This window comes from Homo sapiens, chromosome 1 (assembly GCF_000001405.40).
Source record: "Homo sapiens chromosome 1, GRCh38.p14 Primary Assembly".
Classification (NCBI taxonomy): Eukaryota; Metazoa; Chordata; class Mammalia; order Primates; family Hominidae; genus Homo; species Homo sapiens.
Window position 1 is genome coordinate 63,892,528 of NC_000001.11, and position 23,802 is coordinate 63,916,329.

At 41.4% G+C, this 23,802-nt stretch overlaps 1 protein-coding gene across 3 annotated transcripts in view, besides 2 other annotated features; it reads left to right on the top strand.

Moving 5' to 3' along the window:
• ROR1 (receptor tyrosine kinase like orphan receptor 1) overlaps window positions 1–23,802 on the top strand; it is a 407,482-nt gene that overhangs the window by 118,511 nt on the left and 265,169 nt on the right. The window lies entirely within an intron of this gene.
• Window positions 614–783: a silencer, noted in NCBI's record as "silent region_953". NCBI's record gives its function as "represses an Ori minimal core promoter by ATAC-STARR-seq in GM12878 lymphoblastoid cells {active_cell/tissue: GM12878}" and the evidence as "EXISTENCE:reporter gene assay evidence [ECO:0000049][PMID:35858748]".
• Window positions 13,702–14,226: an enhancer, noted in NCBI's record as "OCT4-NANOG hESC enhancer chr1:64371900-64372424 (GRCh37/hg19 assembly coordinates)". NCBI's record gives its function as "activates a minimal SCP1, AML or CMV promoter by ChIP-STARR-seq in naive H9 embryonic stem cells {active_cell/tissue: H9 hESC(naive)}" and the evidence as "EXISTENCE:reporter gene assay evidence [ECO:0000049][PMID:30033119]".

The window sequence follows — 23,802 nt, forward strand, 5'->3', positions numbered from 1 at the left end:
CTATTTTACAGATGTGAAAGCCTGAGAAGGCAGATAGATAAATGTTACTTGCCCTAGGTCACCAACCAGTGATTAGCCACTGAGGACTGAAACCCAGTATTTTTTTTCTTACAGTAAAACCCATGCTTATGGAAGTCCATACTGGACAGCAGTCTTGGGTTTGGCTAAGCTCTGCCACCACTAATGAGCCCTGTAAACTCGGACAAGTTGCCAACCTTCTCTAAACTTAGGCTTTCTCATCTGCAGAGTGGAGGGAGTAGGACTTGAGGCCCTTCTAGCTATGCAGTCTGTGATTTCTAGAGACAGAACAGGGAAGGGCAATAGGGGTGACAGGAGAGACCAGAAGCTGCCGTCACAAAGACTAGCTTTATGGCAAGCCTGTTTCCCAAAAGCACAGGCCCTTCAGTGGCCAGTGAAACTGATGTGTTTGGATTTATCAAGTAGCTTTGCCAAGGACCAGCTGGCAGAAGAAAGCAAAAAGCAGCACGGCAGATTTAAAGATGAGTTCATTTCTATGGTGTCAGCCGCAGAGGGTGCGGTTTCCCTGTCTCTAGAGTGGTGGACACAGTCTACCACTGTGTTTCTTCGAGGGGAGATTGTGCATGTTTCTTCGAGGGGAGATTGACTGTGTGCTTAGGCAGTAAACATCTTCTGGGCACAGTGTCACTGGGAGGATTTTTGTATTGAGAGGGCAGTGAGGCGTGAAACCTCAGACTCCTGTGGTACTTCCTGCTACCCAGTGATGTCAGAGGCTTGCTGCTCACAGTCCCCAGCTTAGGGCCCTGTTTCTCCAGCTCTCTGCTTACATCATGTGGGAGAGGAGCAGCAGCCATGAGAAAACCTAGCTCCTGGAAGTGCAGAGATAGAGACTGGGATAAAAGAGGGGGGTAAAAAAAGAATTCATTAAATTTGGCCTTGAAGATGGTTATTTACTTGTTTGCTGTGCTTGCTAATATGCCATATGAATAGAAAAGAGGCTGATTTTTGATGACACCATTTCAAGAGTATCCTTCATGATGTCCAGGTTAAAAGGTTTTTGTGGGTTTCTTAATTTTGTTGTTTACTGACTGGGCGTGGACATATGGACTCTTATTTTTTTTCTGGTTGCCTTTGCTACATTTACAGGCTTCCGTGTTTCTAAGAAACGAAGCAGCTGTCTTTTCATCAATTAATGGTATCAAAAGTATCGGTAATCTCTGGATGGTGCTATACAAAGTGGGTCAAGAGATATACAGTGGTCCCCCCTTATCTGTGTCCTGGGAATATGTTCCAGGATTCTTGGTAGATGCCTAAACTGCAGATAGTACCAAATTCTATATATACTAAACATGAATTTCTTTTTCCTTTTTTACAATTTCATGCATAGAAGATTCATTTTTACTGTAGATCTTAGTGACCTCAGCATACGATTTTTTTCTTTCCTCATTAAGTCAAGATCTTTTTCACCTTTTCACTTCAATCTTTTACCTTATCACTTTATAGTTTATTGGCAAATCCAAATGCCAGCATCACTACTCTTGTGCTTTTGGACTCTTAGTAAGTAAAATTAAGGTTACTTGAACATAAGTGCGTGATATTGTGGCAGTCGATCTGATCACCAAGACAGCTACTAAGTGACTCATGGGCAGGTAGCATAGAAAGTGGGAATATGCTGGACAAAGGGGTGACTCACATTCTGGGCAGGATGGAGCAGGATGGCCCAAGATTTCATTATGCTACTGAGAATGGTGTATAATTTAAAACTTACGAATTATTTCTGCAATTTTCCATTCCATATTTTCAGACCATGGTACCTTGGGTAACTAAAACCATGGAAACCAAAACTACAGATAAGGGGGGAGACTACTATATTCTAAAAGTTTATAAGAGAAAGCAATTTGATGGTGATATCAAATGCCATTGCATTGATCTCTGCAAAAACCCTTCCCATTCATTAATGCATTCCTCATACATAGACATATAGCCTCCCATCATCTTCACACACCACAGACACCTTACATTTGTGCACTTGATTTTTGTGAAGCTGATGTTTATACTGATCATGTTCAGGATGGGGCTCCTGTAGCACAGGGGAGGTTTTTGGGACAGGTGGGTAAGAGAAATATAAGGAAGGAAGAGCAAAAAGGACTTGATTCTTTATTGTTTATACACCAAAACCACTGCCTTATGCATAATCCCTCCTTCTGGGCACTGGGTAGTGAGTTGGCAAAGTGAGAAAGACGAAACTGGTAGTTACAAATATTCTACAAATTGTTAGAATAAACACTGGTTTTCATTTGAGTTGGCCATTAGGTTGGAATCTGCTTGGCCAAAAGGTCAAAACCCTTTCTTTGGCAAGAGTGATGCATCTTAAGTGTACTTTATTTTGCCAAGTAGACTAAAGACCTTCAAATCTTTGACAGAGGTGTGGGAAATCCTACAGCACATGTTTTCTCTCAGTCTAGAAAAACTCCTGGACGTGGATTACAGGAGCTTTTAGATCTTAGAATGCTCTTTATAAAACATATTTGGATGACACATGACATGGAGAAAGTTATGGCATGCTTGTGTTTTATGTAAGTATGTGATTTGATCAGGGCTTAGAAAAGTTTATCAAGCTTTTTAGATATAATTTTGTAATCTCTCAAGATAGAGATGGCATTTAATGGCGGGATAGTTGGCCAATAAAGGTCACTGGACAATTTAACAGAATGTTGCATTCTTGTAATATATTCTTGTTCTTCTTTGAACACAGGACTATTACTCAGATTTAGAAATACTAGTTATCTGCATTTTTCTTCATTGTCTCTGTTAGACAGTGGGATATAGTATTGTCTTTAGTTTGGCTACACTGCTGGGCTTGAAACTGTGGGTAAAGGCTAACACTCACTTAAGAAAATAAACCATGTATCTTGGTTTCATGAAGAAGATGGTTAGACCTGAGAAAGAGGATGATCTCTGTTGACCAAGGTGGAATTTGAAGTGGAGGTAGTGTGAAGTCAGGGTGAGGTTTTGGCATGTTTAGTCTCCCAGACAGAAAAGATGAAGGCCAAGAATTGATATTCACACATCTCGATTAGGTACCTGGCATATCATTAGCCTTTCTTGAAGTCATTGATTCACAGACTGGGCTGATAGTGAATTTTGAGGTGCTCTGTCAATCTCTTCTCCCTGTCATTTTCCCACGAAGGAACCAAGTCTCAGAGTTGAGATCATTAACCGTGAACATTTACCAGCTGTTAAATAGATATGTTCTTTGATAACTGTTGAAAAATTTTACAATTTTTTCTTTTCGTCTTGATTCTAGGTGCCCTATGATTTTCTTTCTATTTTGTCTTGCCTTTTTTATTTGATTTGATACTGAGTGTTTTGTGCTCAGAAAATAATACCCAGTGGTGTCTTGGAGTTGGCATCTGTGAGATTAGAACTATGACCCCTCTAAGTTCTGGATACCCTCTGTTCAGTAAAAGGGCTCACAGGTCGCTAGATGGACTTGGAGGTCCTGATATCCAGCCTCCTCTAAGATGAACGCTTCCACCTACAGTGCCCTAGATGAGTGGCTAACCCCTGCTTGAGTCTTTCATTCACAATGTGCTTCCTCCTTAACCAAAAAAGCCACTCCCATCATTACATATTAGATTTCATATCATATCATATTTATTCAATGACTTCTATCAGATTGTTAAAAAATAAGGATATTTTGTTAAAAAATAATATAAATATACCCTTTCTGAAGTTGTTTTGATAGCTCCTTTGATAGCAGGTGGAATTTTTAAACAATGGCTTTGGTGCCTGGATTGTGAGGATTTTGCTTGGATTCTGGTGGCATTTCTGAAAATGTGACTAATGACCCCTCCAGTGTTCTAGAATCTGTGTTCAGTAACTTGAACTCCATGCCATCTGAAGCCTTCTCCAAAGTATGTGCTGGGTCCCTCCTTTACTCTGAAAGATTTCCATAACACTTGGTAGACACTAAAGAATGCTTCCTCCACCTTCTCCTTCATTATAAACTGACTTGTTGGACTTAACAGTTCCTTTCTCATCTAATCAAGGAGCTGGATTCTGTTTCTCAATAATGTAATCACAGTAAGATGGTGATATTGGCGAAGCACCGGAAATGACTGGCAGGACACTGGGGAAAAACTGACTAGTCTACAGTTTCCTTAGAAGACAGCCTGAAATTGCTTATAAGCAGAGGGGAGCAGGTCACTGAAAATGTAGACTCGTGTGTGAACACATCTAACCCTTGATTTGGGGGGCATTGGGGGGCTGCTTTCTGGAAAGCCCCTTATGTATGCCTTGCACACCCACATCTCACCTTGGAGCCTTATTTCAGATGCAGAATAAAAAGACCAGAGTTCGAGTTCTGACTCTCTATTAATTATTAGCTGTTGAGCTTGGGTAAATCCCTTAATCTCTTTGAGGTTAATAATAACTACCCCAGAGAGCTATTAAATGTGTCAAATGAAGTAATAGGTATGGGAATGCTTTGTAAACTCTACAAGGTCATAAAAAGTCAAGCTGTTGTTATTAACAGTATTTTCTGTAAAATTTTCCTGGCTATTCCAGCTCTCAGGATTTTGCATTTCTCTTATTCACTATTGGTACTGCCCTTTGGCCCTTTCACGTATTCATCTGTGATGCTGGTCAGCCCTTCCCCTGGATAGAAATTTTCTCTCTAGCAAGTTTATGGCTTTCATATTTTTAATTTTGTACTATTTTTAAAAATGTAACCTTCGACAAAATAAAAGGATATGCATAACATACATAAATTTTAAAGCATAAGACTGTTTTAGTCAACATTTATTGAGAACCTATGAAATGCTTGACATTGTACCAGGTCCTGGGGATACCCAGACGAATAAGACAACCCTTGCCATGAGACATCTCCCTATCTGAGAGTGGGCACAGATGGCAGTGTTCATATTCAATAAACAGGAAAAAGGGAAGAGAGGCTTTTCCACTTAGTGAAATCGAGGCTATGTTCTGAAAGTGTTTACTGTTTTCCACATAAAGTTTCCTTGTTTCTCGGTTCCTTCTTTCTTTTTCCTAAAATGTAAGCTCAATGAGTCTTTAAGCTATGTCTTCCATAAATATTTTTTGAACACCTACTGTGGAGCTAGGTACCCAACAGGACATCAGCAGCAGAAGGGCAGAGATATTTGTCTCTTTTGTTCACTGATATATTCCCAGACAATATCTGCTACATAGAAGTGCTTAATAAATATTTATCAAATGAACTGTCACATTTTATTAGTTAATACTAGCTGTCATAACTGATAATCCTTGGTAACTCAAACTCAGCTTAATAAAATAAAAGTACATTTCTTGCTCATGTAAAGCCCAACTTGAAGTAGATTGAATGACCCTGCTCCATACAGTCATTCAGGGACCCAGCCTGCAGAGGTTCTGCCATCTTCAACCTGTGTCTTCTTTAGTTAACTTACTGCCAATCTCCAGCCAGGAGACAGAGGAGAGGGAAGGCGTGGAGGGTTCCAAAAGGGCCTTTTTGGCCGGAGCTCATTCTGTTGTCTGCTACATTTAGACAACTGGAGGGGTTGGGGCAAGAAATGTAGATCCTTGCTGGTCTCATCCCAGCAATAATTTTGCATATTGAAAGGAGTGCACAAATCTTTGAACAGCTGGCCATCTCTGCCTTATGGACAAAATGCCATTTGTTTTCTGTTCACATGTGGGTCTTTCATGACCTGTGAGCTCCTTGGGGTCAAAGGCTATATATTATTCAATTCTGTTATCCCTAGTTCCTAGTATAGTACAGCAGGTAAATAGATGTTTTCTGAATTGAAAGTAAAAAAATCGTTTTTCTGTTGGATGTCGGGCACCATAATAGATGCTTACATTTTTTTTTTTGGATAAAGGAGGTTTTTTTTTTAAAAAAAGGAAAGAATAAAAGAAGAAGAAACCATTTGCTATAATAAAGATCTGCAAAGCATGGTACCGGGTTCCAGGATGGTAGGTGTTCAAGAAACACATATTGAAAAAAAGGGAAAGAAAAAGAAGAGAAAGAGAATGAAAGGACAAAGGAGGAGGGAAAGAAAGAAGGAAGGAAGGAAAGAGAGAGAGAAAAAATAAAAAGGAAAGAAGAGAGGGAAAGTAGAAAGGAGACAGAGGAAAGAAGGGGGTGAAAGAGAAGTTGAACAAGAGGAAGAACAGGGAATGAAGTGAGAGAGGGAGAGAAAAGAGGGAAGAGAGAGAGAACGAGAACACAGGAGGTTCCTGAGAGGTAAGTTGTGTGGCGCCGTACTCACTGCAGAGGGAGTTTTTCCCCCTGCCTAGGAGGTCAGGGAAGGCTTCCCAGAGAGACCTTGCTCTTTGGCTTCTGCTTTTCTTGGTCCTTCTGGCCTAATTTCTGCAACTTTATGATCTGCCCACCCCAATAGAGGACAAAAATATCTCCCTGTTGTCTGATGGGGAAATGAAGTTAATAAATCTCCTGGAAAGTTTGTGCTTCTCCATGGAAACAGTACATAAAGTACTCCTGCCACCCACCAAGAAGCACCGGGACGGGCAAAGCTCTCCATCACACAGGACCTGCTTCTTCAAGCCTACAGTTTCTCAGGCCAGGTTCTGTGCAGCCCAGACACAGTTGTTCAGATCTGGGGTGTGGACCAGGTGGTGCCAGAGGCCCTAAGAATACTCTGTTTACTTTGCCTTCCTCATCAGTCTCTTTCATTCCTAACTCACTGAGTTTCTCCACAAAATCCACATTCAGAAGATTTTCAGTAATTTGACTGACTGTAGCAGCATACACAGCCATGAGTATACTGTGCCCAGATGCCTGCCAGAGTCTCCCGACCACAAACCCAGCACGTTGATAGTTGTGTCCTTGCCATATACACAGTGGAATCTTTTGCCTTTTCTTTCCTTTTGTGCCTTTAACATTTTCCCCTTTGTATCTCCTAAATTTGCATACTTTGTAGCAATTCTTCAAAACGATATTAATATGCCCATTTTATAGATGAGGGATCTGAGGCTCAGAAAGTTTCAGTGTCTTGTTTATGCTGCCTGGCATCAGTCTGAATTGCTCCGAGCCTTAAGCCCAAGCCTCTTTTCAACAGTGCTGCAGCCCTGTCAAAGATGTACTTGTGAATTCAAAACAGCACTCAGGCATATAGGTTACATTGGCACCAGGAAACCTAAGCAGTATTTCCATGACCAAATTCTAAGTGAATTCAACACCAAAGGAGAAAAGGAAATGTTCTTTGCTCTCTGTATAGATTCCTCTTCTGCTTGCTTGGGTTTTACAAAGTTCTTCTAATTTTTATGTGCGATTGGACAATGCAGTTTTGGTAAAGTTGCTAAAACCATAACTGTTACTCTTGGTTTTAAATATCAAACCAGGTAAAAGGGAGGGAGGAACTTAATGTTACAGAAGGGAAAAATGACTTAAATATCCGAACAGACACCATATGGGAGGCTTTTTACTCCCCTTTCCTCCTTTAAAAACAGTGTGTTATTTCTCCCTCTAGATTCCAGTTACTATGGAGGGATTTAGGATTTAGTGAGACTAGTGTTGCTGAATTAGCTTTGTAAGACAAGTCTGTTTACTTTTTATACTAATTTTCATGCTTACCACTGACTCTGATTAGTTTGAAGAAAGCTATTTCTAAGAATCTGTTCTTAACATTATAGAAAGGAAAAGTTGGCCGGGCGTGGTGACTCATGCTTGTAATCCCAGCACCTTGGGAGGCCAAGGCGGGCAGATCACCTGAGGTCAGGAGTTCGAGATCACCCTGGCCAACATAGTGAAACCTTGTCTCTACTAAAAATACAAAAATTAGTTGGGTATGGTGGCAGGCACCTGTAGTCCCAGCTACTTGGGAGGCTGAGGCAGGATAATCGCTTGAGCCTGGGAGGTGGAAGTTGCAGTGAGCCAAGGTGGTGGCGTTGCACTCCAGCCTGGACAACAGAGTGAGACTCCATCTCAAAAAAAAAAAAAAAAAGGAAAAGTTAATGATTTAATTTTCTTTAGCTGGGCATCTGGTAACCATGTATCAGAAGGTGAAGCCTGTGAGGTGCCTTAGAGAGCATGGAATGCTGCCCCCATCCCATGGATTAGGAAATTGAGGTCTGTGTAATTAATATGAATAATTATTACCATTTTTCTTACATTAAAATATATTAAAAACCATAGAGAAAAAGACACAGGTGATCTGCAATTCCATGTCTAAAGGAAGCCCCTATTAATATTTTTATTTACCACTCATCTATTTTCTATTCGTATGCATTATATATTAATTTAACATCTTGCTGTATGTATCTGTTTTGAAATGTAATTTAAAAAAAATCTAAATATATCATGAACATGCCTCATGTTATGGTTGCATTCTTCATTTATTTAACAAATGATAATCACTAACACTTAACATGGCTCTGTGGGCCAGGCATTCTCCTATGCACATTACAAACAGTAACTCACATATCCTCATAATGAGCTTCTGAGGTGGTAGCATTATTACCGTCATGTTACAGGTGAGGATGCTGAGGCCCAGAGGGGTTACATAACCTGCAGGGTCATGCAGTTAGGAAGTGGCAGAGCCAGAATGGTCACCCATTCTGTATGACTTTTCTGTCTCCCGGGACCTGGCCTGGCCCGCTGTAAGCTAGCAAACGTGTGTGCTGAATGAATACTGGTGTTTAAAAGACTGACATGGTGCATGAGAACAGGGTCTTCCTGGTTTGGGGAATGGTGCTGATTCACACTTGGCATGTGTTTATTTCCTGAAGGTTCTACGGCCAGCAGAGCTCTATCCTGACAATGTTTCTGAACCACCGATCACCTACAGGTGTGCAGAGGTTATGACACAGCAGTTTTACACTTGGCCTTGGGAGTTGTTGTCCGGTTCCCCATTATCCCCAGTTTACACACTTTCACTAAGTCAAGATTCCATGTCTGTAGCTGTAATAGCAGTGTAATAGCACTGTGCTCAAGGGCCTGGAGTGTTCCTTGATGTGTTTTGGGATTTCTAGCCAAATGAACTCAGTATAAGTTCATCTCACTTTTCAGATTCTAATGATGTCTTTAGAGATTTTGTCCTAAATCAGTGAACAGAATTTGATTCTGAGGGAATTTAATTTGGAAAAAAAAAAACCACCCAGATACATACTTTCCTCCTTGTAGAGTAAAACCTCTCTTTATTAATTTTTTTTTCTTAAAGGATACATTAGCCCTTTTAATTATATCTTTTGCTTTTCTGGGGTCCAGCATAACCTATTCTGTATGGGTTATACATACTTCCTTCTATCATATATTAATGAATACAACTCCCTTTAGATGGAGATTGTGCTAGCTAGTGTACAAACTAGATAGGCCCTGACCTCAAGAAGCTAGCAAGCTAGTGAGAAAGATAAATAAACAAAGATACTCTGTTCTGTTTCTTTATTTATCCTAAGACATATGGATAAAGAGTAAACAAAGGATACACGACTCTAAATACTGCAATACAGTATAGTGGAGAAAGGTTGAGTATGAACTTGGGAATAAGGAAATATCTTTTTTTATGGTGACGTTATTGAAACATCCAAACCATGATATATTTAAGTTATATTTTCGATGGTTGGACTTCAAGGCTTTTTTGAATATATTCAGTTTAAGTCTGCAGATAATAGGAAAAGAGCTTATCCTTAGCTTTAAAAAATTCTTTGTTCATAGCTATTTAAATGGAAAAGAAGGAAGAATTGTCATATGCAACATTTTAAATATAATTCATAGTTTCATGTGAATTAGTGGAATTAACAGTAACCAGGGAAACTTCCGAACCTTAGTGTGGTCAGACCCTAGTAGACAATAACAGACCTTTTTTTTTTCTTTTAAGAGTCTTGCTCTGTTGCCCAGGCAGGAGGGCAGTGGCTTAATCATGAGATACTGCAGCCTCGACCTCCCAAGCTTCAGTGATCCTCTCACCTCAGCCTCCTGAATAGTTGGGACCACAGGCACATGCCACCATGCCCAGCTATTTTTTTTTTAATTTACTTATTGTAGAGACAAGGACCCACCAGGATTCCCAGGCTGGTCTCGAACTCCTGGCTCCAGCAGTCCTCCTGCCTCAGCCCCCCAAAGTGCTGAGATTACAGGCATGAGCCACCGTTGCCCAGCCAAAAGATGTGGATTATAAATCTAGCTCCATCACTAGCCACAGCTGTATTACAATCTGCATTCAGCTGTGAGTTCAGACACCTGAAAAGTATTGGCTTAATAAGTTATGGAGAGTTCCTAAAACTCATGTTTTAATTCTCTCATGTAATGAAAACAGGAGATAGGCAGTAGACATTTCCATGGAAACTGACATTTCCATCCCATAATGTCTTCTGGGACCCAGACACCTTTTCTGTTTCCGCCAGTCATCCTTAGTGTGTGCTTCTCATCTGTAGTCCTAAGTTTGCTGATCCTCCTTCTGCCTCACGTCCATGTTCTTGTTAGAAGAATGAGATGGGCAAAGTGTAGGCACAAGCTGAATCAGCCCTCTTTCAAAAGCTTGCTCAGAAACCCTACCTAGTCACTTCCCAGTCCATCTCATGTGCCAAAACCATGTCACATGACCACCCTCAGCTGCCAGGGAGGCTGGAAAAAGCTTTTTAGCTGAGCACATTGTTGCCCCCAATAAAATCAGGGTTCTGTTAAGATAAGGGAAAAGGAGGGGCTGGATATCAGGTAGGAGTCTACTAATCTCTGCCCTATCAGCTGGGAAATAAACTTAATCGGCAGTTAGCTAACTTTTTTGAATGCACCCTCCCTGCCTTTTCTTCATTAAATCTTCACAGACCTAGGTTCAGATTAAAGTATATTTTCTTTAGTTGAATTTCGGGTTGGAGTGCCAGGGATATTTCTCCCTTCCACTCCCACTTGATGATGTCATTCATTTGAAATATAGTTGGGTTCATTTATTTAGTTTGTCTTCCATTTTAGGTTTTTTTTTTTACCCACTTCACTGATTTTATTTATGTGTTTGTCTGTTTATGTGTGAAACATTCATATGTTTTGGAAGTCAGAATGATACAAAAAGAAATACTCAAAGACATGTCCCTCTCATCTTCCTTCTGCTCCTTTCCACCCTCCCATCATTTCCACCTCATTCCTGCTCACCCCATGTCCATAGGTGCTCAGTCTCATTTGTTTCTGGTTTAACTTTACTGTATTTGCTTTTGCAAAATGTGCACAGATTATATAACTATATAGCTATATAAGCATATATAAACATAACTATATATATCTATATAGTTGTATGACATATAGATATATTTTTATATATAGATATATTTTCTCATTCTCTTTTTTTCTTACACAGCAGGTAGCATACTTTAGATATTCTTTACTCAAGAGTCTATGTAGATAGTTATAAGAAACGAAATAATCATGAGACCAGGGAGAATGACAGGTGTCCAGTAAAAGAGGTAAAACCAAACAATACAAGGGAGAGACCTCTGCTTAGGAAAGGTTTTATGAAGGAGGCTGCATTTGAGCAGAGTCTTGAGAATGGGGGATATGGCAGGAAAGGGAAGGATTTTTCTAGACATTGATAGAAGAGGAGAACAGTCAGGGAATGGTAGGGAAGCGGGGCCAGGTCAGGGGCATCAGTTCAGGGGAGCCCCATGATGGAGCTGAAGAACTCAAGTCTCTAGGGAAGAGTGTGACAAGATTGCGATGATACAGGAAGTGAAATCTGAGTGTTGTGTGCTTTTTGTGGATTACGGGTTTCTAGAGAATTTAGACATCATCTAGTGATTCATTTTAAACTGACGTTGTGTGCCCATGTTATAGAGGAGGAAACTGAGGCCCAGATAAACAAGGATCTTGCTCAAGGTCTCATAGCCAGATGTTGGCAGAGTTGGAAGAGCCATGCCCTTGACTCACAGTCCCAGGCTCTTTTCCTCAGGATTTCCCCAGGATGTAAGGTGGCCCCTGTGCTTCATAGACCTGGCAGTTTTTCCTTTGCCAGCTTGTGTCTGGACTTCTCAATTCATTTAGTCCCAAGTCTCCAAATCCAACCAGACTAACAGCAACTTTAAACCAGCCTGTTATGAATTGAGGTGTGTCCCTTCCTCCTTCTCTTTAAATTCGTATATTGAAGGCCTAAGCCTAACTCCTTAGGAAGAGACTATATTTGGAGATGGGGCTGTTAAACAGATTAAGTTAAAATGAAGTCATTAGGGTGAGCCCTAATCCTATTTGACTGTTGTCCTTATAAGACGAGGAGATTAGGAAACTCATCCCTACAGAAGAAAGACCAGTGAAGATGCGAGGAGAGGACAGAAGACAGCCATCTGTAAGCCAAGGAGGGAAGCTTCAGAGGAGGCCAACCTGCTGATATCTTGATCTCAGACTCCTAATTTCCAGAATTGTGAGACAAATTCCTGTTGTTTGATTCTGTGGCACTTGGTTATAGCAGCCCTAGCATATCAGCCCATGCCTTAACCTACATTTTAACTGGCTCCTCGTGGGATCGCACACCCAGGCTGGTGTCTTAGCTCCTGCTTGTTACAGCTCCTCATCCTTCCTGTTGTTAAGAGCCTTCCCTGGGCCCTATCTTATGTCACCTACTCAGCCACACTGCTTCAGAGGCAAGAGAGTAGTGGAGGGGAGTTTGTCTTAGTGCAGAGAACATGGAGGGCAGATTGGGAGTCTGATGGAGCCACTCACTGGCCAAGAAAATAAATTGCCTAACCTTCTGGATTCAATAGTGCAGTTGAACTAGGAATCTCTGAAGCCATTTCCATCTCCTCAATTCTATAAGCAATGTGGACACAAACTATTTGTTGATTTTAAGTGCATACTCAGGGATTTAAAGGTATTTTTTAAAATTATGCTTTTTAGCTTTTTTAATATTCTCAAATGTTTTGCCTTACTACAGACCTTAATATACCCAGGATATTAACAAGTTTTAAAAATCAGGTGATGGGATTATGAGTTTTAATTTTCTTCCTTATGCTTTAAGTTCCTCTGTATGTGAAGAAAACTAATCAACTTTCTAATGCAGATGGTAATGAAACAAAGGGTATACAAGTTTATATTAATTGACATATAGCATGCAGAAACGGATGTAGTTTTTAAGATAATAAAATGTGAAAACACTAGTTAAGTTGAGGATGGAAAAAGCTGTCACAAGATATCTATAATCTGTTGTTTGGGTCATGGCAAAGCATACATGGTAATAGACATGCACCATCATGGAAAAGCTCATCCTATTGACGTTCTAGCTTGACCTTAGGAAGAAGAAGGTGCAGATAAGAGTCTAACTTAAAATTAGAAAAAAGGAACTAAATTCAAAAATTATAAACAAAACAACCAAATAGTCTCATAAGAAAAATGCGAAAATTTTGCTGTAATTTATAGCTCAATTCCTCAAGTAACAGGAATTTTTAGTTACTTAACTCGATAATAATTAACATAAAATAATGTACTTGAGGTTATTGGGACTTCATAGATCAGGGAATATCATAATTATTACTGATAATTAGCTAAATGTAATCAAACGGTTCCATTTAGAATGTTTTTAGGTAATCTGGATTCTTGTTATTTCCTATAGACATTTTATAAGCAAAGGTGGAATACAACATGCTTATAATATGGGGAAGAACAGATCTTGGCAAATGGGATTGTTTTGAGGCCTTGTTCTAGGGCACTAACCAAAACAAACTAGATGAAAAATCATCCACCTCTGTGAACGTTTCAGAGTCAACTGCCTGTTCTACACACCCTCAGCCTCATAGATACGGGTCCTGATAACCCGAAGTCCTATGCTTTGGTATGGATTACAGGAGTGATCTCTCCTCCTGTGTCCTCTTTTGTAGAAAGCAAGGATCATTTTGTAAACATCTGGTTTCACCTCAGAAGCGCACGTGCTATCAAGATTTGTGTGTATGTGTGTGTTTGTAAAAGACATTTTATGTATGCCTGCGAATGACCTTTCCAAGAATCTTGCACAGCTTGTGGCTATTCAGGCCTGTTCCATGGATTTTTCTTCAATGCAAATCCAGCTGTGTCAGTTCCCGTAACCCCTCCTGTGCCTGCTCAAGGTTAAGCGCTGCAGTCTGCTCTTTAGTAAGTGTCCAGAGGGTAATTACCCAGGTGCATCTGGGTGGGGTTTAACCCCTTTCACCCCCACCCTGTCTGCCAGATTCATGGGGGAGATTCAGATGTGCAAGAGAGGCAGTTAGTGAAATCAGTTCCCTCTCTTGGGGTAATTTGATCTTGTCAAACAATGCTTTTTACAGAACATATGTGCTTTAGTTTTATTTTAAGTTTCTGAAATACCATTCTCCATTTTGCTCACCACTGAGGCATATGTACAAATCCAAAGACCCTCTTTTGTTACACGTGAAACTTTATTCTTATTTTTTTGTCAAAAGAAAAGTCCTAAGTTTCCCAAATCCAAAGCAAAGTGAATGCTTCAATATTACTTTATCCAGAGCCACAGGCAGGAGAGAAAAGTTGTGAAAATCAATTCAGGAAAGACCAGGAGGAAAACAAAATGATCGCCCCAGAAATGAATATTTAACTGTTGTTTGTTGGTTGGATTTGGGAGAAGAGAAGGTAAAATGGTTTAAAAGGCAAAATATTAAACTGCTTAGATTATGGACAGCTCTCTCCACAGCTTTCGCCCCCAGATACTTTGGGTCTCATGATGCTAGAATATCTGTCGTATCTCAGAGGCTAGGACATTCTAGGCTGAGAGTGGTTGTTATAATATTTTGCCCAGGAGTATGGTGTGGGAGCAGCACGTTGGACAGGGACTTGGCGATGTTGGCAAATAATAAGCATGGGGCTTGGGCGGCCGGCTGGTGATTGCTTAAGCCAGGCAAATTACTTAAGCTTTCTGAGCCTCAGTTTCCTTCTCTGTAAAGAGGCCATTGATTCCCACCTCCTGGGGTTATTTTAAAGATGAAATGAAACCAGCTATGCTAAGTGTTCAGTGCTTGCCAGGCACATTACACTTAAGTGGTAGCTGTTATTTTATTATTTAAAAAGATAGCTTTGCCACAAACCAGATATGTGACATTGAGTAAGTCAGGCCATGTAGGTGGCTGGGCTGTGGTTTTCTCATATAAAATGTGAAATTTAGAGCTATAGTCCCTTCTACTTCTAAAGTTCACTGAGCCTTTGAATCCCCTCTTAAGCATTAGTTCACTGGAAGAATAGTTTCTGTGCCTAGCAGTGTGCAAGGTTGCCAAAGTTCAGATTAAATTCTTACCAGGAGGTTACTAGAACTTGAAACACTTCTTGTGCATGGATTTCAATGTAATTAATCATTTGAAAGGTGAAAACATGTGTTCCAATCCTGGGCAGTGACTTATCCCAGTGCCCAGGTGAGTTACTAGCAAATCTTAGGTCTTGGGCAGTTCTTTTTGTCCTGATACCAAAGCTAGAGAAATAAATCTGCTTTATGGCTCCTCAGTCTTATTTATGAATCAAAAAATCCTTTCATATCCAAAATCTATATTATTCTGCATCTGAAACTTTTCTGATCTTCTTCACTCCTTTACAATAATATTATCTAATGCATAGATAATGCATGGTTGCTTCCAGAGTACTTTGATTTATATAATTACACTCACTTGCTCCTCAGAACAATTCCATGTGGCAGGTCTGTTATCACCCCCAATTCACAGATAAGGAAACTGAAGGCTGGATTTGCTGAGATCATATAGCCAAGAGTTGTCGGATATGGGTTACATACTCATGTCTTTCACTGCAAAACACACATTTCTCCCCCTGAAGCAAGCTCCCTCTAAAGTGCCAGAGTATTTTGTTTATGAATGAGGAGTGACAAAGCAAAAAATGAGGTCACAGTTGGAAATAGGATATGGAAATGCTGGTTCCTTCATGACCCACAGGCTCAGATCTGTGATTCCCAACATCTTTTTATATGAGGGCCTATTTTTCTTTGGTAAACAGAAGTTTATTATTTTATTACACAGGCAAAATACAGATGTGCAAAAGAGAAATATGTTAATACTCTGGTGATTATTAGTGTTAACATTTTGGTGTCTTAACCTCTTCGCTCCCCTGTTTATGTATTTATATGTATAGGGATGTGTATTCACCAGAATGTTCTTAATTTGCACATACTGTTGAGAACCCATCTTTACTAACAAAACATGGTGGATTGCCCACAGATAGTTGTATGGGATCTAGATTTTGCATCTCCCCTGATAGGCTTATCCTGCCTGCCTCTTGCTGAATTTTGCTAGAAAGTTGTTACTACCACCTTGTACTACCTCACTCCCCAGGGGAAAACTGCAGCTCAGTCTGCGTAGCTCCTGGTGCAGCAGAACCCAGCAGTGCCAGCAGCCAGGCCTGATCCGGCCCCTACCATGAAAGCCCTGACTTCTCCCACCATGCCAGGACTCAGATGAAGAATGTGCCAGGGAGTGGGAAGTGGTGTCTCCAGTGGCCTCCATAGCTACTGATACAATGCAGAAGTGCAGGGAGTTAAGGCCCACAGGTGAACCTTGGCCAAGGGGAGATAGAAGCGCAGGAGACTGTTCTGACCCATATGTGGTTTCCATATAGCCTTTGTCTTGGTGACCTAGCAAACAGGCACTTTTTTGTGAAGTTGTGACAGCTTAGTAACTAATGCACCACTCTATATTTGCTCTATCTTGATGTCTACCTCACCTCCTCCTGCCCCCTGCGCACCTGCTTTCCACCCTGGGAACCCCACCCCTGCCCCGATAAAGCTTGAGCACGAATACTTTTCCTCAGCTCCTTCTTTTCTCTTTTTTAACTTAGGAAACTGAGCTGATGGTCATTACATTTATAGTATCTCTGTTCAGTAAGTACTTACAAACAAAAATTCAATTGCTTTTAGTGAATGGATTTTATTAATTACAATAGCATCTGTATGCACTTGAAGAAAAGTAGTATATTGATGTTATCTTCAGATGCCATTTGGTGATAGGTGAATTAAAGGATTCCTTGAAGCCACTCTGTGCCTCTCTCTACCTGCATGTCCTCAAGAAGAAGCCACAGTTGGGTTGTTTAGGTGAGATACAGGTCATCATAGCTATTTTACCCTCAACTTGACCTTCGTGCTGTAGTTAAAGACTCTCAGACAGAAACCTCAGTCCATCCAGTCTCTTCCTCCAGCTGCCTTTCAAGTGCGTGAAGTTTTGAAGTCTGCACACGTTTTCTCAGGGTGAGGCACTGTACACATCTGGGTCAGCTTTATTCCAGTTTTCTTTTTTTTTAAATATATAAAGTCAATCAGTGTGAGTAACTGCTACATGAGACCACGGAGAAAATGAAATAAATATGTTGGAAATGCTAGAAAGTGATCTGCAGTTGTTTATTCGCCTCAGTCTCACTTCCTGGCTTATTTTAAAGCATTCAAAGGGTTTGAACAATCTTTTGAGTTGTTTGGCGTGCTGCAAAAAATATGGTCTGTTCTCTAATATGAAAGAATTTTACACTGTGCTTCCTGGCCTGGAAGTGTGTGGGAGAGTGAGGAAAACAGGGAGAAACTAGTCTCAAGGGACGGGACCTCTTGTGCTGATTAACATTCTCTTAACAAGGCACTTAATCTATTATATAATTCAGTGCACTTAATCTATGAAGCAGTATTCACGGGGCTTTCTTTTGTTTCTCAAGGCCAGGGATGCTGTCTTGTACATCTTTGCACTCTCCAACAGTGCTACATTTAACAGGTACTAGCTGCACTCTTTGAATGATGAGGTGGTTGGTGAACTTTTCAGCTAGCTAAGTCAATTATGGTGAGTTGCACAAGATGCCCATGTTACAAAGAATAAATGCTAGAAAAATGATTTATATATGGACAAATTACTGACCAAGACAATGTCCTTGTTTGTACAATGGACATTGTTCAGGCAGAGCTCATGGGTTGCATTCACAGAAAGGGCTCATTGGCTGGTTTAAACAGAAACCAAGAAGAGAGGGGTCAATGAAGGCAGGACTGGTGAAGGAAGGCTGTGTCCAGGGCCTTATAGGGATGAAAGGGGATGAGACAGTGGACCTATGGACTGTGAATTCTGAGTTCCAGTCTTTGCCTCTTGAAATTTAGTGTCACTTTTGAGGCCTGTCCCCTCCAGGAAGCTTTTCCTGATCCCTGAACCAGTTAACTAACCTCCTATGACCCCATAGCCCTGTGTTGGGACCTTTATCCTGGTGTGCTCCTGCATGGCCATTTGTGTTCTTCCTGATACCGTCCTCTAGATACTAAGTCATGTCTGTGAGGGCTGCGCTTTTTCTGGTTCATCCATGTGACTCCCAGACTGCCTTGCACTCAGGCCACTGCACAAATGCCTGTCGAAGTAGACGTTCCAACCCAAAGGTTCAGAACAACAAGGACGTGCATCCAGCCTTTGTAGTGCAGTGGGTTGAAGAGTGATGCCCTGAAAAAGATGTGGCCACATCCCTTCTCACCAGCCCTGGGCTGCATTCTATTTAACAGTTTTGGTTTTTTACGTCAGAGAAAAAGAGATGACTTTTGTATAAGTCATTGTTATTGACTCTGTCTCTCTCCAACTTGAGAACTGCAGGAAGATTATTTGCTCATTGCCTGGCCTTCAGGTGTCTGATGGAACAGGAATCAAATCATAGACACTTTGAACCTCTCCTTTGCCATGATGCTTGGACAAAAAACTTGTGGCCTCAATTCTTTAACTGAGGAGCCTTGTAGAATAACCTCTGGAGTTAAACATACCTGGGTTTGAACCTCGACTATTACTCATTTCTGTGGTGTGGCCTAATCTCCTTATGCCTCAGTGTTCTCATCTGTAAAATGGGCATAACAATGACCACCTCTTACAGTTGTTGTTCTGGGCATTAGAATGATACTCTATCCGTTAGTACAGGGGTCCCCAACCTCAACATCTGTCCAGGGCTAGTTAGGAGCCGAGCCTCACAGCAGAAGGTGAGTGGCAGGTGAGCGAGCATTACTACCTGAGCCCTGCCTCCTGTCAGATCAGCATTAGATTCTCATAGAAGTGCAAACCCTATTGTGAACTGTGCATGCCAGGGACCTAGGTTGTGTGATCCTTATGAGAATCTAACTAATGCCTGATGATCTGAGATGGAATAGATCCCGAAACCATCCCCCCCACCCCCAACCCTGGTCCATAGAAAAACTGTCTTTCATGAAACTGGTCCTCAGTGCCAAAAAGGTTAAGGACCGCTGTAGATAGTAGATACTGTTGGTTGTAGTATTGTGTCATTACGTTGTTTGTACTAGTGAAATCACTAAGACTCTTGTTCCAGGGAAGAGAAGAAACAAAAAACTGAAGGAATAAAAAGTTTAAGCCACAAAGCATTAATAGGAACACTTGGACCTGTACAAGAGATATGCTGAGGGGCATGGGGAAGGAATTCCTTCCTTCTCAAGCTGTAGGTGTCAGGCTTTGGCCGTGAAAATGACAGTGGATTTTCTACTCATTCAGCAAACTTTCTGGAAACCCCATCACCTGCCACGTGTGTGTGGAGGTGCTGTGTGGGTATACAAAGGCGAATTAAGATGTGATCCTGGGTCAGGGACAGTGGCTGCCACCTGTAATCCCAGCACTTTGGAAGACCAAGGTGGAAGGCTCACTTGAGCCCAGAAGTTTGAGACCAACCTGAGAAACAGAGTGAGATCCCCATCTTTACAAAAAAAAAAAAAAAAAATACTAGCTAGCTGAGCATGGTGGCATGTGTCTATAGTTCCAGCAACTCTGGAGGCTGAGGTGGGAAGATCACTTGAACCCAGAAATTCAAGGCTGCAGCAAGCCATGATGGTACCATTGTACTCCAGCCTGTTCAACAGAGTGAGACCCTATCTCAAAAAAAAAAAAAAACAAAAAACAGAAGACATGGTCCTGATCTCTACTCTCAGGGTTTCATACTCTATTGAGGGAAGATAAAGTTTATTATAATGCAAGGAGAAACCACTCTAAATGCAGCATTTACAAAACGCTCTGAGAGCATAGGGGTCTGTCTGAGGGAAGTGGAGAAAGGCAGAGCTATTGCCATTTAGGTCGGATCTTGGATGAGTTAGGAGTTCTTCAGGAGGGGTAGGAAGGATAGATAACATGTACAAAGGCAAAGCAATGCAAAAATACAATGGTATGATGTTGGCTGTGACTGGCATCTTATGTTATAGGGCTGGGGAGAGACAGTTAAGCAGAACATTCAGCCGGAGTTGTATCCTTGACACTGTTGGGCTAAGAGGCTGGGTTGCCTTGTTTTAGTTTGAGGAAGGCTGTGGACATTTTAAAGGGAGGGAATGATACGGGCTGTTCTCATCTGATACTTGTGCTTCTCTTCTCCCTGTTCTTTTGAGTTGGACTGTGGCCACGGAAGGGCAGAGGAGGAGAAATCTTCCAGCAGTCATGGGGAGACACAGATATCCTTTATCTTAGTTGGGATTAACAAAACAAATTAACTTTGGGTGTGAGGAGAAGCGCTTCAGATAAGAAATGGGCAAACTTGGCGGGGGTTGCTGATAGTGACACCACATCTTCCCTGTCTTTACTTGGGGACCATTTATTTTTATTTTCCCCCTCTCTTTAAAAGCTGTTGTATCTCTAGGAAAAAAAAAAGGCTCCACCTTCAGGAATGCAGTGTGGTTTTACTTCTGGTAGGTGAAGAAAATTTAGCTTCTGGATTTTTCTATGCTTGATAAAGGGTATAGTGTGTAAATGTAGGAAACAAAACTATCTCTAACCAGATCTCAAATTTTATGAAAGAAACACAAAATATGGATATATTAATGTAGAATAGACATGTGTAATATACATTGCCCTTTGGGTTGCAAGGTTTTTTTCTATATTTCTATATTTTCTTCTGTATTTCTATAAATATATTTCTATATTTTTTCTGGGAGAAAAATAAATCTTAAATATTTTAAACAAAAGTTCTCAGTGAGTGTGATCTCTGTACTCAACCTTGGAAACAAAAACAGATTTCTTGGGAGGAGGAGGGATAAAATTGGGGGTATGCTGTGTATTTTGGGAAGAATTTGGCTTCTTTCTTGCTGATACCTTTCACTAGTTGCCGTAAGATTCAGGTGGTTCTTTCATTATTCATTCTACATGTATTCATTGAGCAACTATTCATCAACCAGCTGTACCTTTCTGGACAGGCTTATTTTGGACTGAAAGGCATTCCCTTGCCTGTCCCACGGCCTCCCCCTGAGATTTTCTTAGCTGCGCTCAGTGTGGCCACAACACCCCGTGATTCTGTCATCACCTCCCTTGCTACGAGGCTGCTCTAGAGCCCTCCATAAACAAGCTGTCCAGGCTGTTTGGATAAGAGCAGGGGAAAGACAATAATAAACTCGGGAGGATGGCATGACCAAGGTGATTCGCACTGGAGGTTTTTAATGGCTTTTTACACATGATGAGCACTTTATTGTCTGCAGTTTAAAACGCCGTCCTCACACGGTGGCTCTGTGAATGCCAGCCTCTCCCGGGGAGCCTTCCCTAGCAGTGCAGCCTCAAATTCAGGGAAGGTTCTGGTTGTTTCTTCTGTGAACAAATATCAGAAGTTCCTATGCCTGTGTCAGGAGCTCTAGGTTAGGTGTATAAAAGAGATGGCTAAGTTTGGGAAGCCGCATTAGTGTTTTTGTTTTTGTTTTTAAAGTTTTAAGATTAAAAAAAATAAATTGTTAGACTTCACTAGCTCTTGCTTTCTCCTTTTCAGCACTGGCTGAATAACCAGAACCTGAGCTGAACTTGAGTATTCAGAAGGTGAAGCAAAGAGGAAAATGTTTTATTAGAAACAGGCTTTCTAGCTGTGACAAATTATATGTGAAATTTCAAGTACAGACCCGCAGGGTTGTGATGACTTCAAGAATGATCAAGTGTGGCCCAGTCTAGGAAAGTGGAGGGACAGGAACCCTGCGTGCCTGGTTTATTGTGTGGTTTCACTTCCTAGGGAGAGGAAGGCAGGAGGAGAGAGAAAGTAGCATGCTGCAGGGTGCTGCTGAGTTCAGGCTGTGGCTGTCCCCAGTATTTCAGCTCATGCCGGTAATCAGCAGGCCTCCAGGAGGAAGAGTTGGGAGCTGTTATGCAAAGCTGAGAACCTGTAAGTCGAGGTAGGAAGAAGACAGTTCAAATCCCTTCGGATGACTCTTGGGCAGTCTAAAGTCTGATCCCAATTTATCTTTCCAGATTGTTCTATTAACCTGGCCAAACACCAAATCTTTTGTGTACACATGACCGTTGGAACCCTCTTCTCTGCTTGGCAAACTCTAAACCCTCCTTCAAGAACCAGTTCAGAAGTGATCAGTGTAATCAGCCATTTTAAAAAATTGGTTTAAATCTGTACCCCTCCACCCCCATTTCTGCTTCATCTCTCCCCAAGGCAGAATCAGTCTCTCTTCTCTGTTGCTTCCATGCACCTTGGCTGATGGACACTGTTAGAATTGATGCTCACAGCTTGGGAGAGCAGATGGGGTCTGGGAGAGCCTCCTGAGTTCACTGGCACAGGATCATACAAGACAATATGTGTGAAAGTCAGTGGTTAATTGCAAAGCACTGTACCACTGTGTTCATAGCTACCCTTTATTGAATACATCGTGCTTGGTATTTTCTCATCAAATCCTCACAACAACCATTTGAAGGTAGGTATTATAGTCATCTTTCTTTTAAACATACAAAAACTGAGTCTCTAAGAGGTTAAGAAGTGGGCTGCCCATGGTCACATTAAATAGTAAGTGGCAAAGTTACATTAAACCCAGTTCTGACTCCACCATCTCAACCCATGTCACCATTTTTCTGGGCCTGTGGGCAATGCAGACGTGAGGGAGACCTGGTCTTTGCTGTTAAAGCTTCTAATCTGGGATGGAGATAAGGCAGTCACTGCCCCCTGGTGTATAGTCTAAGGTGGGATACAGGCTCTAAGAAGGGTGCACATAAAAAGTGTTTGGAGAGCAATAAAGAGGCTTTGTGGAGAGAGCTTTCCTTCCCTGCACCTTGAGGAGTGGGCAGGGTTTTTATAGCAGACTTAGAGAATAGGGAATGGCAGAAACTACATGAATAAATGCTTAGTGGAGTATAAGAAGAGTGCAATGGAGAGAAGGGTATGAGACTAAGGCTATCTTAATCATATGACTATTACCAAGGACTTAGAGCCCACAACATCTCCCACCCTCTGCCCCCTATCCTTGGTCTTTTATGATGGGAGATGGTTGCTAGCCTGCATTTAGGGATAGCTATGCTTATACAGAACTTCTCACACAGAGTAGTACTGCTTCCCTGGGTTTGGAAGCATTTTTGATTTTGCCAGAAAGATTGGCAGGGGGTGGGGTGGGGTGGATGCATGTGAAGCCGGGGGGGTGTGCTACAATTGGCACTTGGTGCTCCCTGAACCAAATATACTAAATATCTTGTAATGGATGCATCAGTCCTACCCAGGGAATAATTCTCCCACTCCGGAGACCCAGTATCTCCTGTGTGGGATCCCCCATCTACAAGTATACATGTAAACTTTCCCCTGGGCCACTGCAGTGTCCCTCTGGGAAACATGAATCTGTTCCTGGCACCTCTCTAGACACTCTAGAATGGTTCAGTTGTTTTATCCCTATACATACTTGACCTCCAGAACATGCTATTTATGCTACTCCCAAAGCTTATAGCTGAAAACAAACATTTCTACCCTATTTTTCTTCCCTTGAAATATCCTCTGGCTCTGAGGTCATTTAAGGAATAGGCAGCCCTTGCAGATTTTTGTAAGTTTCCTCTTCGCATGAACAATAACTGCAAAATGATCCATCTGATCTGGCTACCATTGTTGAAGGCAAGAGGATACAAAGAGCATTCATCGGGCCAGGCGCCTTCTCAAGAAGGGCTCATCAAGGTGGAAAACCAAGT